Here is an 18,222-nt window from a genome sequence, read left to right on the forward strand (position 1 = left end):
GTCATTTAGTAGAAATAAATGAGTCTAAAAAATGATTGCTAGGTAGTTTTCCTTTTGAATCATGGATCTTGGGCTTAAATAAACTTCTTTAACATGAAAGTAAATAAACAAAAGGTTGAAGTAAATAAATATAGACAAGGAAAAAAATGTAGAATATGATACCAATTATGAAAAAAAGATATTTATAGTGGCATACAAAAGATTAGAAGGATATATAAATACTAAAGACTGGCAATCATTGGGAGTAGAATTATAGGGAAGAGTAAGGAACATGACCTTTCATTTTCTACATGATATAATTTTATATTTTAATATTTTTAATAACCAGCGACATAGTAAAGATTTATCCATTTGGAAAAGAAAATAAAAAAACTTGGTTGGAATATTGAAACAGACCTCTAACTCCTTTCTAGTGGTACTTTATATATCATAAGAAGGCATCCTGGAGATCAATATTACACACTGTCCCTTCCAATTACATGTGAGAAAATGCATTCCAAGATGAAACTGTAACTTCCCACTTAGGTATCAGGTGAGATGATGTACAGTGAAAAGACTGTGAACCATAAATACACAAAAGTTAGAAAACCTTCGTGGGTGTTTAGGAATTTTTTTTTCTATTTCACACTTATTTCCAGACATCCTCCAAAAAAAGATTTTTTTAAAGGCTCACAGGAAGAAATCATAAAGAGAAACAACCTACCATTTAAACAACTACTGCAGAATTGGTTCTTTCTGAACAGTGACTATCAGTGATAGATTTTTCTAGAAATGTTTAAATCAACCTAGAAGTGGCCTCAGGATGTTTGGTGAATTGGTAGAAGAAAGGCACGTTTACAATGCATATTTACTAAGGATGTGTATGCCCTAATTTTAATCTGGAAAAATAAGACTGGTTATTAAAAAGTATTATTTACTTTTACAAATAGACGGGTTCTAGGGCTAGGCTAGAGATTTGGAAGAGGAAAAAGGCTATATGGGTGGCACTTCAATACCTCCGTTGCCCTTTCTAGGAATCTTAAGCATCTTCTGGAAGCTATGATCCCCAGTGCTGTCGCTAGTCTAACAGACCCTAATAAACTAAGTCTGTGTAAAATTAAGGAACAAGACAGGATGAAAAGAGAAGTTAATGAAATGGTAATCAGCAGGTCCTTGAATAACTTCATGTCAACATTGATTTTAAAAAATCAACTCATACCTGTAATCCCAGCACTTTGGAGGACCAAGGTGGGCAGATCACGAGGTCAGGAGTTCAAGACCAGCCTGGCCAATATGGTGAAACCCCGTCTCTACTAAAAATACAAAATTCAGTTGGGTGTAGTGGTGCGTGCACATAGTCCCAGCTACTCGCGAGGCTGAGGCAGAAGAATCGCTTGACCTGGGGAGGCGGAGGTTGCAGTGAGCTGAGATTGTGCCACTGCACTCCAGCCTGGGCGACAGAGTGAGACTCTGTCTCAAAAAAAAAAAAAAAAAAAAAAACAAAAAAAACATCAATTCCCAGCAAGGGCCACTCTCTGTGGAATTTGTATGTTCTCCCCATGTTTGCATGGGTTTCCTGCAGGTACTCCAGTTTCCTCCCACATCCCAAAGATGTGCCTGTTAGGTTCACTGGCATGTCTAAATGGTCCCAATACAAGTGCGTGTGTGTATCTGTGTGTCTGTGTGTGTGTGTGCGCGCGTGTGTGCACGTTCTTCAATGGACTGGCCTCCAGTCCGGGGTTGGTTCCTGCCTTGAGCCCTGAGCACGGGCTCTTCAATGGACTGGCCTCCAGTCCGGGGTTGGTTCCTGCCTTGAGCCCTGAGCTGCCAGGATAGGCTTTGGTCACACTCAACCCTGAAGTGGAATAACTGGGTTAACAATTATGTTACTTGTTTGTATTAATCTTTCTTGAATGTATGTATAGCTCACATTTATTTCAATGTTTACTATCAGAAGTGTTTTGGCATTTATTTAGAAGTTCGGTGATGTTCTTGTGACCAGAAATATGCTATAAAAACTTAACTGTTATTTATACAAATTAGCTTATGGTAAAATTGGTTTCCTTATAATTCATTTTGCTTAAAGTCTCAGTTTCCAAGAACCTATCAATGACATTAAATGGGGACTAACTGGGAAACTAAAGGGACTACTTAATGAAAAGAATCATTCTCACCTTTGCACATTCCTCTTGTATCAGGATGCAGACTGAACTCAGATTTAAGAGATGCGTCTTGATCAAACAGCAACCTTTCAAATACCAAAAGGGAAGGCACAAGTTGTTAATGTGTCTTAAACAAAGACTAACATTTTACCCATCATTTTTATTATACCAAAACTTGCTAAAATTCTTAGTTATACCACTATTAATGTTTCTATTTCAAAGTGTTATTCAGAAATGTACATTTTGATTGAAAACACATCCAAGATGAAAAATAAAGACTCATCATGTTAATTTTACAAATATTCTGTTATTATTTTTTAATATTTGGGAGTAAGGGACAAATATCGTTGTCTCTAGTCTAATAAACCTTAATAACTTTTTGAAAAGAGATAAAATGAGATCATTTGAGGGACCAGTGCTGGTGGGTTTTTTCCCTTCACATTTCTCTATACCAGAGAACTTGAAATTAATATCCCAGGATTATATCTGAGTATATATTTTCATAGTATGCACTGACAGAATTCCTTTATTTATTTATTTATTTTGAGACACAGTCTCTCTCTGTCACCCAAGCTGTAGTGCAGTGGCATGAACTTGGCTCACTTCAAACTCTGGGCTCAAGAGATCCTCCTGCCTCAGCCTCCCAAGTAGCTGGGACTACAGGTGTGCACCACCATGCCTGGCTATTTTTTTAATTAATTTTTTTTTTTTTAGAGCCAGGGTCTTATCACTTTGCCCAGGCTGGTCTTGAACTCCTGAACTTAAATGATCCTGCCTTGACCTCCCAAAGTGCTGGGATTACAGGAATGAGCCACCACACCTGGCCCAGAATTCCTTTAATTTTTGGATTTACTTCTTACTATGTTCAAGGGAACATCACGTTAACAAAGAGAGAAGACACACAGTCCTTGCCCCCAAGAAGCTCCAAATCTAGTAAGGGATACAGAGCTATGAAAATAAGCATGATATGCCATGAGTATGCTATTAGGCAAACTAAAATATTTATCTTTTCTATTTAAATGAGCAGAAAATGGACAAAAGACTTGAATAGACATTTCTGCAAAAACGAAATACAAATAGCCAACAAGTACACGAAACGAAAAGATGTTCATCATCACTAATCATAGGGGAAATGCAAATCAAAACCACGAAGATACCACTTCATACTCATTAGGATGGCTGTTTATGAAAAATGAAAAATTAAGCCAGGTACTATCACTCACTGAGTAGCTGAGTAATCCCAGCTACTCAGGAGGCTGAAGCAGGAAGATGGCTTGAGGCCAGTTCAAGGCTGCAGTGAGCTATGATCAGGCCATTGCACTCCAGCCTAAGTGACAAAGTGAGACACTGTCTCAAAACACACACACACACACACACACACACACACACACACACACACAACTTTCTAATAGTTCTCAGCATCAGAAAAGTTGGCAATGAAAAGGACTCTAATCCTTAACTTTTCTATTATAACACACCCTCTGTGAGAGTGAGTACAGGCTCCTGCTATAAGAAGAAAAGCATTTTCTTGGCTCTTTTCTACTGACCATTACTAAGGATCAAAAATGCATTATTAGAATATGAATTATACCATAGCTATAGTGCATTTTTCCAAGAAGTAAACCATCTACTGATGTTCCTCCAAAAAGTAAAATTATCTATTAATGTCCCTAAAAGGGTAAGTTTATCTCTTAAAATGTTGTGAGGTTTTTTGTTTGTTTGTTTTTTTCTTTTCAGACACAGTCACTCTGTCACCCAGGCTGGAATGAAGTGGCACCATCTCAGCTCACTACAACCTCCACCGCCCAGGTTCAAGTGATCCTCCTGCCTCAGCCTCCCAAGTAGCTGAGATTACAAGTGCCTGCCATCAGGCCCAGCTAATTCTTGTATTTTTAGTAGACACAGGGTTTTACCATGTTGGCCAGGCTAGTCTCGAACTCCTGACCTTCAGGTCTCGACCTCCCTAAATGCTGGGATTACAGCTGTGAGCGACTGCACCCAACCAAATTTTGTGTGTTTTTTTTTTTTAATTTAAAAATAACACAAAAGGGGTATGGAAGAATTTTGGGGGATAATGACACTATTCTATATCTTGATTGTGATAGTAGTTACACAATTATGTTTGTCAAAACTCAGAACCATACTCTTAAAAAGGTGAACTTTATGTAAATTCCTCCTTGAAGGGTGACAGAATATGCCACCCCAAAATAAGCCACTGTGACATACGGATTACTCTGAGCTAAAGGCAACTTGAAAAACAGCAGATGCTTCCCTTTTCCTTCTTGAAAACAGGAGATAAAAACTCCTATGTAAAAGATGCCCTCCCTGTAGAAGGAGAAAAGAAACATTTCTCAATAGCCAAGAGAATTCTGTACAAACAGATCTTGTTAAAATAATTCTTGTCTTCCTTTAGCCTCCCTACATAATTTAGTTACTTTTCCACAACTGCCTCTCTTTGTTTAACCCAATACAAAAGCACATAGGTTCTACCATTTCTTTTTTTAATTTTTTCTTTTCCTTTTTTTTTTTTGAGATGGGAGTCTTGCTGTGTTGTCCAGGCTGGAGTGCAGTGATATAATCGCAGCTTACTGCAACCTCCGCCTTCCAGGTTCAAGCGATTCTCCTGCCTCAGCCTCCTGAGTAGCTGGGACTACAGGTGCATGCCACCATGCCCGGTTAATTTTTGTATTTTTAATAGAGACAGGATTTCACCTTGTTGGCCAGGCTGGTCTCGAACTCCTGACCTCAAGTGATCTGCCCACCTCAGCCTCCCAAAGCACTGGGATAACAGGCATCAGCTACCATGCCCAACCAGGTTTTGCCATTTCTTTGGGTCTTCATTTCCTTATGAGGACTCCTGTGTCCCATAAAACTTATTTTAAATTTACATAAGTTTTAATATTTAAAGTATTTAATCTATTTCATATTTAATTCTTAGGCTTAACCAGGGCCCTATGAGGAGAAAGGCAGAATTTCTGCCCCTACTAAAATCTTAATTAAAAATAAAAAACTAATATAAATATGTTAATATTCTAATATGTAAACGTAAAAATTTAACATTATGCCAATAAAAGTACCAATAAGGGCCGGGCACAGTGACTCATGCCTGTAATCCCAGCACTTTGGGAGGCTGAAGTGGGGAGATCACTTGAAGTCAGGAGTTCGAGACCAGCCTGGCCATCATGGTGAAACCCCATCTATACTAAAAATACAAAAATTAGCTGGGCATGGTGGTATGCGCCTGTAGTCCCAGCTACTCAGCAGACCCAGGCAAGAGAATGGCTTGAACCTGGGTGGATGGAAGCTGCCGTGAGCTGAGATCATGCTACTGCACTCCAGCCTGGGTGATAGAATGAGACTCCGTCTCAAAAAAAAAAATAGTCCAGATTCTTTCCTAAGGAAATTATTTTTAAAAACCCCAACAATTTATGCTTAAGGAAATTATCTCAGAGTTATTTGCAATAACAAAAAATTAAAAACAAACTAAATGTTTTGTTTTAAAATCATATAATGCTTCAACAAATTATCCCTTTATGACAGAAAACTATCAATAATTTAGGGAAGAATTTTAATGACATTGCAAATGTTTAAAAATAATGTTAAGCGAAAACTGTAAACTTGTACAAATTGATTCAAACTTTGTAAAAGAATTATAGGTGCACACACAAAAGCCTACATAGAAAGCTGGAAGAAAATATACCAAAGTCTTAATACAAGTAGAATTAGGTCAGATTTCTATCTCATTCATGCTTCTTTTTATTGCTCATGTTTCCTATAGTGTTCCTGAATAGACAATATATTTATATGGTTCAAAATTCAAAAACCAGTATAGACTAGCCCTGATTACTCATGCTCATAGTCCTCACTACTCAGGGAGCTGAGGCAGGAAGATCACTTCAGCCTAGGAGTTAGAGGCTTCAGTGAGCTATGACTGCACTATTGCATTCCAGACTGGACAATAGTGTAAGATCCAGTCTCCAAAACAAACAATATAATAGGGTATGTAGTAAAATATCTCTCTGTCCCCTCAAATATAAGCTTTCTTTCCCACAGGCAACCAAGGTGTTTGATTGTTTTGTAATTCTTTCAGAGATATTTTCTAAGTGTATATATGTTGGAAGACAGAGGTAACACTATTTTCTAAAAACAGAAGCACTGTGTCAAAGAGTATATGTGTTTGTAATCTTGATAATTGAAATTTTTTGAGTTTTGTATTATAATTATATCTTTCTTCCTCTACAGTTATAAAAGAATCCCTTTTTGGCTTCTTGTAATACTTTTTGGTTTTTTTTTAACATTTACATCTTTGATTCATATGGAATTTTTTTGGAGTACAGTGTGAAATATGGATTCAACTAAACTATTTTCTACATACATCCTTCATCATCCCAATATCATTTTTTGAAAAATCCCATCATTTCCTCGCTGGTTTGAGATGCCACCTCTGTAATACACTAAATTCCCATATGTATGTGATTCTATTTTGGGGGTTTTTATGCTGTTTATTGATCTGTCACTTTATGTGCCAGTATCATATTTAAAATATTTTATATCAGAAAATATTTTAATATCCTATAGGTCATTACCTCCTTATTGTTCTTATTTTTCAGACTTTTCCTAATTGCTCTTATTTATTTTACGATATAAACTTTGGAATCAGTTGTCTAGTTCAACAGAAAGTCTTGCTGGTACTTTTTTTTTTTTTTTTTTTTTTGAGATAGAGTCTCACTCTGTCGCCCAGGCTGGAGTGCAGTGGAGTCATTTTGGCTCATAGCAACCTCTGCCTGTTTCTCATTACAACCAAAAACTCCGAATGAATATTTTTTAAAAACTACTCGAGAACCTTGAAAAGTAAACAATAGCAGGTAGATTGGGGACTGAAGTTGAAATCTTAATAACAACCCATTTATTGACGAGTTTCAGTTTGTTTTCGGTTTTTTGGTTCTTTTTTGTCTTTCAGCTTTGAACCATCCAGTGGGCACAGACAGTAAACCTATTTTTATCCAGAAGACCAAGGAAAATGACCCCTGCATGCCAGAAGGTATAGGACAAAGCCCAGGGCTTTATGTTGCTTTCTCTCTCACCTCCCAGCCCTGCCCCAAGGCTGGCCCTAGCCTCAGAGCAGACACCAACCATGGCAACTGGGGAACATAAAACTCAAGAGAAAGTGTCTACCAGAGGAACTGGGAAAAGGGATCGGTATTGCCTGAAAAGTGTGGACAGAATCCCCCTTTTTTCTCTCTTTTCTTAACTCTGTGCTAAAGGCTGTCCCCCTTGTAAGGAACTGCTGTATAGTGAAAAGGCTAACACTCAAAGAAACCTGTCTTTCTGATCATATGAACTGGCAAGTGGGTATGATGAGGAAAGGGGGCAGGAGAATCCTGGAGAAGAGAGAGAGGGAAAGGAGAATGACCTAATTCTGTGTACGATCCAACTTAAGTCCCAGACACAGCCCTGAGCACATATGAAGCAGACCTAGTGGCCTCATCCCTGCCCTCTTTTCCCTGTGTCTAGCACAGAGAATATGTTAGAGAAAGGTTTCGATAACCTGAAATACCGACTTTTTTGGATTCGTATAAAACTATTCGTTTCCAGTTTGGCAGGGACCAGTTTCCCCATCACACATTCTTTTCTTGAGAGAAACTGTTACCCATTTTCCTAGAACTGAGCTACGAGTCTCTTGAAGCAAAATGAAGTCTCCTGAAACAAAATGCAGTTAAGTTCAGACCCAAGATCTTTTTTGCTTGTGCAAAAAGACTTAAAGCCCCCAAAAGGAAAGCCTTTTGAAAAATGCTATAAAGCCACCTAGTACAAACCTCATTTTATCCCTAGCTGGTTGGGGGTAGGTGGGAACAGACTGTGTTTGCTTATTTACAAGCTCTCAGCTCAGGCACGGCTGCCCCACAAGGCTCTGATCCTGCCCACAAGCACATGTTCTGGTCACGATCTCCACTCAAAACTCTGACCCCCTCAGAGGGCACCTGGGCCGCCCTGGCGCGAGGGTTCAGGCACTGTGGCCCTAATGATGGTCACCTTCTCCAGGGCAGCTCCTTTTCTTCCAGGTCGCTCTCCGTCACTGAACCCTCTATCACAGTTTCATCACTGTCCCAGTCTGGGGCCTGGACGCCTTCCTCCATCTTTGCCTCACATTCAAAGTCTTTTTTACCCTCCTCTAACTCCCTCTTGCCCGCAAACAAAAAAACGCTTTGAGGGCCAGGGGAAATTGTGAATTAAAAATAAAAATAATATAATCGCAGCAGGAGCCGGGACTTGTCGCAGGGCTGCTGAGGAGGACGCAGGCGGCCGCGAGCGCGGCGGGGTAGCAGTCTGCGAGGCGGCCCGCGGGTCCCGCCGCTCGTCGCAGACAGGGGGCAGCCGCTCGCCACACGACGGAGCCCTGCGCAGCGCTCGGCCCCGCCCCCAGCTCCCGTGGCCGGAAGTGGGAGGCCGCGCGCGCGCGCGCAGGCCTACTCTGGGCGTGGCCTGCCGCTGCGTGTTTTTTTCACGGTTTCTCATTCTCGGTCGCTAGGCTTTGAGGGTGCTGGGGTTGCTGCTGCAGAGACCAGAAAGGCAGGCGTGGCGCACCCAGAACTCAGACCGAGCCTGCTTAACACCCTTGGCCGGGAGGGTGACCTGCCATGCACCTGATGCTTGTGAGCCCCAGATACGGGAAGAGCTGTCAGCTCCTGCCCGCCCCAGCAGCCCTGGCATTCTGGAGCCAGAATGCGACCTTAGACCTAAAGAGAGTTTTTGCAGCCCACCAAGTGCTTCCTTTCCCTTTAATCCCTTGACAGCCTCTCCTCAAGTGTCCTCTGAGGTAGACAAAACAGATACGTTTATCAGAAGTTTTAGCTCATCAACTAATCTCAGTGATGTATTTTGCATTTTTTTTTTCTCTCAACAACGCTTTGGTTACCTGAAATACAGATTATGCAGGAAAGGCAGGATAAATGCTTTATTTTTTCCTCTTTTATCAATTTTTATAATAATAGTAATGCCTAGCAACCTCCAAAAGTAGTCAATTGCGTTTTAATGAAGTACTAGAATTTTATATATTTGATGTGTTTCAGTCTAGTTGAACATTTTTAATTCAAACTAATTCAAAACAAAGCCAAGTGAGCTTCCACTTGCCAAGTGAGAAGAAGATTCAAGAAAAGACCAAGTTGTTTTCCCATAGCAAGTGTTTAGTATTCACCTTGGAGTCTCCAGCATCTAGCACATATAAAGTCTAAGTTTTGTCATAAATGGATGGAGCTAGAGATTTCTGACTTCCCAATTCATTGCCCTTTTCACTATATGGAGTAGCTTTGCCATTATTATCATTATTATTATTTTGTGTTTTTACTATGTATATTCAAGCCACTGCTATTTAAAATGCTTGATTGGTGATTATCTTCTAAACTTAACTTGAGGCTGGGGGTGGTGGCTCTACCTGTAACCTCAATGCATTGGAGGCCGAGGCAGGAGGATTGCTTGAGACCAGAAGTTCAAGACCAGCCTGGGCAACATGGTGAGACCCCTATCTCTGCAAAAAATTTGTTTTTAATTAGCAGGGCATGGTAGCATGGGCCTGTAGTCCCAGCTACTCAGGTTGAGGCGGGAGGATCGCTTGAGCCCAGGAGTTTGAGGTTATAATGAGCTATGATTGAGCAAACGCACTCCAGCCTGAGCAACAGAGTCATACCATGTCTCAAAAAATAAAAAAATAAACTTACTTGAATAAGTAACTTACTTAAATAAAATTCCTCGCCTCAACTCTGTAAATTAGGCAGAGCAATAATAAATATGCAAAGAACTAGACCTCTTTTTTATTTTTTTTAACAGTAGTCCATTTATACCCTCCGTGTCTAAATCAGACCTAAATTCCTATCACCTTTCCTGCTCACCCACTGTTTAATTAATTCATTAGCGCATTCTTCTGTGTTGCCCAAGCTAATCTCCAACTCCTGGGCTCAAGCTGTCCTCCCACCTCACCCTCCCAAATAGCCGGAACTACAATCTCATGCCACTATGCCCACTTCACCCATTCTTTTAATTATCCAACTCTGCTTTCACAGGAATTGGGGGATGCATACCCAGTAAATGGTGGTGAGTGGCTCCATTTGCCCCAGAGGGAAAGATGACTCCACTAGTAACAGTACTTGCTCCAAACAGCTGGTAACAAGCTAAGTGCAATAAGTCCTCACTTAATGTCTGTCGGTAGGGTCTTGGAAACTGCAACCTAAAACAAAATGACTTACAAGGAAACCAATTTTACCATTGTCTAATTGATATATATGAGAGTTAAGTTCTTACAACATATTTCTGGTCACAAAAACATTACCAAACTTGTAAATAAACACCAAAACACCTTTACTATTAAACATTGAAATAAACGTGAGCTATATATATATTTATTAAATATATATATTTAAGAAATATCTTAAATATATATCAGATATTTATTAAATATATATTTAATAATAAATATTTAATATATTTAATAAATATCTAAGATATATATTTAAGATATTTCTTAATATATTTAATATATATAATAAATATCTAAGATATATATTTAAGATATTTCTTAATATATTTAATATATATTTAATAAATATATATAAGAAATGTCATATATATTTAAGAAAGATTAATAAAAATATATATATTTAAGAAAGACTAATAAAAACAAATAAGATAATTATTTACCTAGTCATTCCAGTTCAGGGTTGAGAGTGGCTGGAGCCTATCCTGGCAGCTCAGGGCTCAAGGCAGGAGCCAACCCAGCACAGGAGGCCATTTCATTGAAGAGCGTGCTCACTCACACACACACACTCATTCTGAGACCAGTTAGATAAGTCAATGAGCCTAACATACACATCTTTGGGATGTGAGAGGAAACCAGAATACCTGGAGGAAACATGCTGACATAGGGAGAACATGCAAACTCCACATACACAGTGGCCCTGGCTGGGAAGTATAATAATTTTCTTCCCTCATCAGTGTTGAAACACCATTGAAATAAATGTTATTCGAGGATCTGCTATAGATAAATTCACATTCTTCTGGGCCTGAAATTCACATTCTTTTTAAAAATGCTTTCTCTTTTGGCGGGAAAAAGTCAGTTATTTTTGCATCATCTGTTCTCCTTTTATTTAAGAGAGTTGCTAAGATTCAAAGAATGAAAAAGAAATGGCAGAGATGAGCCTCATAAATGCCAGTGTGATTTTAAATAAACCTTTTTTTGTTTGTTTTTATGAAATCCAAAGTTTCAGTGCAGGACAGAGGTGGAAAAATGAACAGAAGATCTGTTTTAGGAAATCTAGGCTGCAGTACAATTCATACTGGTTTAAGCAGGGTGAGTTGAGTCATGTAATTGAACCAAGGAGAGGTTTCCCAGGTATTTCAGGAATGGCAGGAATCAGGTACTGCAACTGTGTTTCAAAGGAAATAGAGCTCAGCTTTCTTTTGAATTAGTTTGAATTTTCAAATAGATTAAAACATCGCCGAGTATGTAAAAATCTGTAAACATTATTATTAAAAAATAATAATTGGCTACTTTTGGAGGTTGCTAGACACCATTTATTATTCTAAAATTAATAACGATAAAAAGACTTTATCCTGCCTCTCCTATACACTTTATATTCAGAATAACCATAGTTAATGAGGGGGAAAAAAAATTTTTTTTTGAGACGGAGTTTCGCTCTTGTCGTCCAGGCTGGAGTGCTATGGCGCGATCTTGGCTCGCTGCAACCTCCCACCTCCCGGGTTCAAGTGATTCTCCTGCCTCAGCCTCCCAAGGAGCTGGGATTACAGATATGTGCCACCTCACCCGGCTAATTTTGTATTTTTAGTAGAGACGGGGTTTCTCCATGTTGGTCAGGCTGGCCTCGAACTCCTGACCTCAGGTGATTCACCCACCTCGGCCTCCCATAGTGCTGGGATTACAAGCTTCAGCCACCACGCCTGGCCATAATTTTTAAGAAATGTAATTAAATTTTACTTGGTCTACTCCATTTGGGCTATAATCTTACAAGAAAAATGTCCTCTTGGGGAATTATTGTTGTAAAGGTGAATTTAAAATTTTTTTTTGATGTTTAAAAAGAAAAAGAAGGCTCATTATTTTGTGATTACACAATATATTTTGCTTTTATAATTAAGATTCTTCGCTGCCTATAGCTTCATATTATTTATTTCCTATCCAGGTTACTTTGGATCCTAGAACTGTAAGAGATGAGACTTTCATGGAAGATTTGATTTATCATAACACAATATGAATCTCTAAGAGACTAAATCCAGCAGCCACTTTCACCTTAGTAATATTTCTCCCCAAAATAAAACTATATGAAGTATTTCACCAAGTATTCCATGATAAGTATTTTAAAATACACTTTCCCGACAGGGCACAATGGTTCATGTTTGTAATCCCAGCACTTCGGGAGGCAGAGATGGGAGGATCACTTGAGCCGAGGAGCCTGGGCAACATAGAGAGACCCCCATCTCTACAAAAATAAAAATAAATTAGCCAGAAGTGGTGGCGCACATTTGACCCAGGTACTCGGGAGGTTGAAGCAGGAGGATCCCTTGAGCTCAGGAGTTGCAGTGAGCTATGATTGCACCACTGCACTCCAGCCTGGGTGACAAAGTGAGATCCTGTGTCAAAAAAAAAAAAAAAAAAAAAAAATACACTTTCCAAAAGAATCATTTTCTCAAAGACTTAGACTTTTTTTTAAACAAAAATAAGTTACTAATCCATTAACCCAAGCAATTCACATGTTTGGCACAAATTAAAGCTGTCATGTAAACTTTTTTAATGGATGGGAATAAGTATGTAACTGAAAAATCAGGATATGTGAAATCTTTTCTCAAAAACTGCAAAATAATGGAGCACACAAAGGCAAGTTTGCACATGATTAAGTGTTGGTTTAGTACCTAAATTTGTTTGTTTATTTATTTATTTATTTATTTATTTATGAGACGGAGTTCCACTTTTGTTGCCAAGGCTGGAGCACAGTGATGCGATTTCGGCTCACTGCAACCTCCGCCTCCCGGGTTGAAGTAATTCTTCTGCATCAGCCTCCTTCATAGCTGGGATTACAGGCATGTGCCACCACACCTGGCTAATTTTTGTATTTTTTTAGTAGAGACGGGGCTTCGCCATGTTGGCCAGGCTGATCTCGAACTCCTGACCTCAGGTGATCTGCCCGTCTCAGCCTCCCAAAGTGCTGGGACTACAGGGGTAAGCTACCACACCCAGCCCTAAATTTGTTTTTTAGCGATCATTATAGCTGATTCATATGTGTGGGGATATGCCACCCACAACTCCTATAGGCTGTCCCTTCTTAGTGCAGAATTTAATAAGTTCAATTTCACTTTAAAATGGCATAAAATAGACATAAAACACTTCAGAAAGTTGAAAGTACTGTAACCACCCAATGGGTTCTCCTTGCCTGCTGCCTAGACAGAGCCAATTTATCAAGACAGGGAAATTGCAATGAAGAAAGAGTAATTCACGCAGAGCCGGCTATGCAGGAGACCGAAGTTTGTTATTACTGAAATCAGTCTTGCCGAGCATTTGGGGATCAGAGTGTTTAAAGATAATTTGGTGGGTAGGGGCTTGGGAAGTGGGGAGTGCTGAGTGGTCAGGTTGGAGATGGAATCATAGGGGGTGGAAGTTAGGTTTTCTTGCTGTCTTCTGTTCCTGGGTGGATGGCAGAACTGGTTGAGCCAGATTATCAGTCTGGGTGGTGTCAGCTGATCCATCAAGCTCAGGGACTGCAAAATATCTTGGGCACTGATTTTAGGTTTTACAGTAGTGATGTTATCCCCAGAAGCAATTTGGGGAGATTCAGACTCTTGGAGCCAGAGGCTGCATGACCCCCAAATTGTAATTTCTAATCTTATAGCTAACTTGTTAGTCCTGAAAAGACAGACTGATCCCAGGCAAGAAGGGGGTCTTTTCGGGAAAGGGGTATTTTCAATTTTGTTTCAGTCAAACCATGAACTGAACTCCTTCCCAAAGTTAGTTTGGCCTACACCCAGGAATGAACAAGGACAGCTTAAAGGTTAGAAGCAAGACGGAGTTGATTAGGTCAGATTTCTTTCACTGTCTTAATTTCCTAAGTTATAATTTTGCAAAGGTGGTTTCAGTACTGTGAAATTTCAGATGATAGCCTAATATAATTAGTATTTCCAAGATGAAAAACCTCTGAAGAATCACTAATGGTATCTGTTATTCTGGCAATTGATTAAAAGATATATTATAATGAAGCCCATAAAATCAGCAGAGGATGATTGAAAAAACACTTGGCATTTCACAAAGGAGAATCAGAGGACTAGACACACCTAGAGGTAAATTATAACGACCCTCCCCACCCATTACTCCAGGATGCCTACCAGATGTTGCTATTCTATGTGGTCTCTACTATTACAGTTATTCATTGTTTAGTCTATTAGACTGTAAATAATGTTTCTTCAGAAGCAGAAAGGGGCAATAGCTATACACTGATCTTCTGTCTCAGAAGAAATACCTTACAACATTGTATAATTTATCATGATGTGAAAAAAACAATATTGGAACACAGGCATTAAACTATTATTATATATCATCAGGGTTTTGTAAGGATTCTTAGATTACTTTCCCCTTATAAACACAATGTAATGTTGGCATCAAGAATTGGCAATCAAAGTAATAAGGCCATGACAGACTGTCAAAAAGAATTACAGACTCAAATGCAACAGCCTAGAGAACATGACATTGATTTTGTCAACTAGTTTAACAAGTTTGACAGCTTCCTCCTTGCCTGCTTGTCCAGACAAGTGATACTCACTGATGGCCCGAATGCTAAAAAGTCTATATTTCAATGTCTTTCCATTTCTATTCCTCCCCACATCTGGTCTTTTTCTGTGATAGTAACTGATTAAAACATTGGATTTTAAACCATGCTTAACCTAACTCATAATTAAAGAAATATACATTAAAACAGCCAATGACACGTTTGTTGGTTTATTTTATCTATTAGTCTGGCAAAGATTTAAAAAAAGACTGATAATGCTCAGCACTGGCAATGATCGGGGAAAATAGGTGTTCTCATATACTCTTGGAGGGAGATGAGTTCAATCTTTTTTGGAGACCAGTTTGGCAACATCTATGAAAATGTTTCACATGGGCTGGGCACGGTGGCTCATATCTTTAATCCCAGCACTTTGGGAGGCCTAGTCAGGTGGATCATTTGCGGTCAGGAGTTTAAGACCAGCCTGGCCAGCTTGGTGAAAACCTGTCTCTATTAAAAATACAAAAATTAGCAGGGTGTGGTGGCACATGCCTGTAGTCCCAGCTACTTGGGAGGCTAAGGCAGGAGAATCGCTTGAACCTGGGAGGCAGAGGTTGCAGTGAGCCAAGATTGCACCACTGTACTCCAGCCTGGGCAACAGAAAGAGACTCTCTTAAAAAAAAAAAAAAGTTTTACATGTATATACCCCTAGAGATAGCCTTTCCACTTTTAGGAATTTATTCCTATATTACTGATATGCTTGCACCAACTGTAATTTTGAAAAGTTGGAAACAAACTAAGTGTTCATCATTAGGGGATTATGCAGTGAAATACTCTGCTGTCATTATAAAGAATGAAATACGGCTGTATATTAGGACATGTGTAGCTGCCCATGTTACCTTGTTTGCAGAATAAAGCAAAGAGCACAACAACGACAGCTCTGGAATTTCATACAGGAAAGGCTTAAGGATGAAATCTGCTTGGAAGTGAGGGCTCTGAAACTTCACCAAAGCTTGCATTTGAATAGCAAACACGGTTTTCACTTAGCTGCTTACATGGAATATTTGTGGCTTTATCTTAGATTCTATGTTTATTTGTGGTTGTTTAGGAAGGTTAAAGAGATACGAAGATATAAATAAAGCCCTCCACACATACCAAGACACCACCTGATCCTGATACTGCAGAACACCACAAATTTTTATTTCTTCTTTTTATTGAGGTATAATTGACATACAATGAAATGCACAAATCTTGTATTTTCACTTCAATGTGTTTTCTGAGCCATTCTATATTTCTACATTTATTTTGTTTAACAGCATACTCAACTCTAAAGGAAGAGAATGGGAGTTGTAGGTGGGAAAAAAAGGTAATACACAAGCAATAGCTTGAATCTTAAAAGTATAATTTACATAAATAAGACATAATAAAAAGAGAAATTTTAATAATTTCTGGACTGATAATATTGCCAAATAAATACATGATAATGGGATCTTCTTTGTGTAGAACCGAAACAGCCATATAAACAGGTTTAGACTAATGTATTAGTAGGTCTGCCACTGTAGAAAAAAAATACCAGCTATACCCACAAAAAATCCCAGTGACAAGAGGTTAATCAGAATCTTCACATAGTAAAAAAATGCAGTTCAATGATTTTTGACTCTCTCTCTCTCTTCGTGCATGTGTATGTACACACACACACACACAGACACACACACACTCAGGTAACCACCTAAGTACTTAAAACAAGATCAAGAATATTTCCATCACTCCTGCCCTTTCCTCAAAATCCACCTGCAAATGATAGTTTTTCATACAAATGGAATCACACTGTACGTATTTTTTTAAACTGGCTTCTTTTACTTAGTTTTATGTTTTCAAGATTCGCCAACATTGTTTGCACCAGGTCATTCCTTTTTATTGCTGAGTATTGTTATATTATGCAAATAGACCAAATTTGTTCAGTGCATTCTCTTGTTAATGGACATATATGTTATTTTCAGTTTGGACACTGTAATGAATAAGATTGCTATGAACATTCCTGTTGAAATCTTTTTGTGGGTGTATGTTTTCATTTCTCTTTGGGTACATAAATACCTGATGAGCAAAATTCCTGGTCATATAGTAGGTATATGTTTAACTTTATTAAAAAGCTGCCGTGTAGTTCTCCAAAGAGAGGACGACTCCCAACAGCAATGTATGAAAGTTCCCTTTGCGTCATATCTTCACGAGCATTTGTATTGTCAATCTTTTATGTGCCAGCCATTTCAATGGATATGAAATAGTATCTCACTGTGGTATTAATTTGCATTTCCCTCATGCCTAATAATACTAGCAAATTTTTGTGTGCTTGTTGGCTGTCTATATACCTTTCGTGAAGTGTCTATTCAAATTTATTGCACACTTTTCCATTGGGCTGTTTGTATTTTTATTATCGATTTCTAACATTCCTTTACATATTCTGGATATGAGAGGCCTTTGTCAAATATCTGTATCATGAATTTTTTTTATTAGTCTCTGGCTTGTCTATTTTTTTTTTTTAAGAGATGAGGTCTCCCTTTGTCACCCAGGCTGCTGGAGTGCAGTGGCATGAACACGACTCACTGCAGCCTCCACTTCCTGGGCTCAAGTGATCCTTCCACCTCAGCCCCCCATACCCTTCCAAGTGGCTGAGACTACAGGCACACACCACCATGCCTGGCTAATTTTTGTATTTTTTGTAGAGACAGGGTTTTGTCATGTTGACCAGGCTGATTTGGAATTCCTGGGCTTCAGCAATCTGCCCATCTAGGACTCCCAAAGTACTGGAATTACGTGTGCCACCACACCTGGCCTCTTAATATAAGTGTCTTTTGATGAGTAAAAGGTTTTAATTAGGATACTGTCCAATTTATCAGTTTTTTTCTTTTATGATTAGTGCTGGTATTAGTTTCCTAAGGCTGTCATTAACAAATTGCCACAAACTGGATGGCTTAAAACAACAGATACTTATTTTTTATTTATTTACGTATTTGTCTTTTAAGAAAGAGTTTCGCTCTGTCACCAGGCTAGAATGCAGTGGTGCAATCTCGGCTTACTGCAACCTCCGCCTCCCGGGTTCAAGCAATTCTCCTGCCTCAGCCTCCAGAGTAGCTGGGATTACAGGTGTCTGCCACCATGCCCAACTAATTTTTCTATTTTTAGTACAGGCAGGGTTTCACCATGTTGGCCAGGATAGTCTCGGTCTCCTGACCTGTGATCCACCTGCCTTGGCCTCCTGAAGTGCTGGGATTACAGGCATGAGCCACCGCGCCCGGCAACAACAGACATTTGTTTTCTCACCATTCTGG

At 39.0% G+C, this 18,222-nt stretch overlaps 1 protein-coding gene and 1 long non-coding RNA gene across 13 annotated transcripts in view, besides 2 other annotated features; one reads left to right on the forward strand and one right to left on the reverse strand.

Moving 5' to 3' along the window:
* The window catches only part of ANKRD31 (ankyrin repeat domain 31), a 168,582-nt gene extending 160,112 nt beyond the window's left edge, over window positions 1-8,470 (reverse strand). For 9 of the 12 annotated variants that reach the window (NM_001164443.1, NM_001372053.1, XM_017009319.2 and 6 more), the window contains exons 1-2: window positions 8,175-8,470; window positions 2,154-2,227 (exon numbers count right to left, since the gene is read on the reverse strand). In NM_001164443.1, the coding sequence (NP_001157915.1) occupies window positions 2,154-2,227; window positions 8,175-8,278 (178 nt within the window). In that variant the 5' untranslated portion in view covers window positions 8,279-8,470. Of the gene's footprint in view, window positions 1-2,153; window positions 2,228-7,957 lie in introns of all 12 variants that reach the window. The other 3 variants (XM_024446010.2, XM_024446011.2, XM_017009317.1) reach the window with 2 other exon arrangements.
* Window positions 8,191-8,360: an enhancer, noted in NCBI's record as "active region_22678". NCBI's record gives its function as "activates an Ori minimal core promoter by ATAC-STARR-seq in GM12878 lymphoblastoid cells {active_cell/tissue: GM12878}" and the evidence as "EXISTENCE:reporter gene assay evidence [ECO:0000049][PMID:35858748]".
* Window positions 8,411-8,710: a silencer, noted in NCBI's record as "silent region_16101". NCBI's record gives its function as "represses an Ori minimal core promoter by ATAC-STARR-seq in GM12878 lymphoblastoid cells {active_cell/tissue: GM12878}" and the evidence as "EXISTENCE:reporter gene assay evidence [ECO:0000049][PMID:35858748]".
* Window positions 8,630-12,480, forward strand: LOC124901006 (uncharacterized). Its single transcript, XR_007058823.1, has 2 exons — window positions 8,630-8,958; window positions 12,329-12,480. It is a non-coding gene; the product is annotated as an uncharacterized LOC124901006 (long non-coding RNA).

The sequence above is a fragment of the Homo sapiens genome, chromosome 5 (assembly GCF_000001405.40).
Source record: "Homo sapiens chromosome 5, GRCh38.p14 Primary Assembly".
Lineage (NCBI taxonomy): Eukaryota > Metazoa > Chordata > Mammalia > Primates > Hominidae > Homo > Homo sapiens.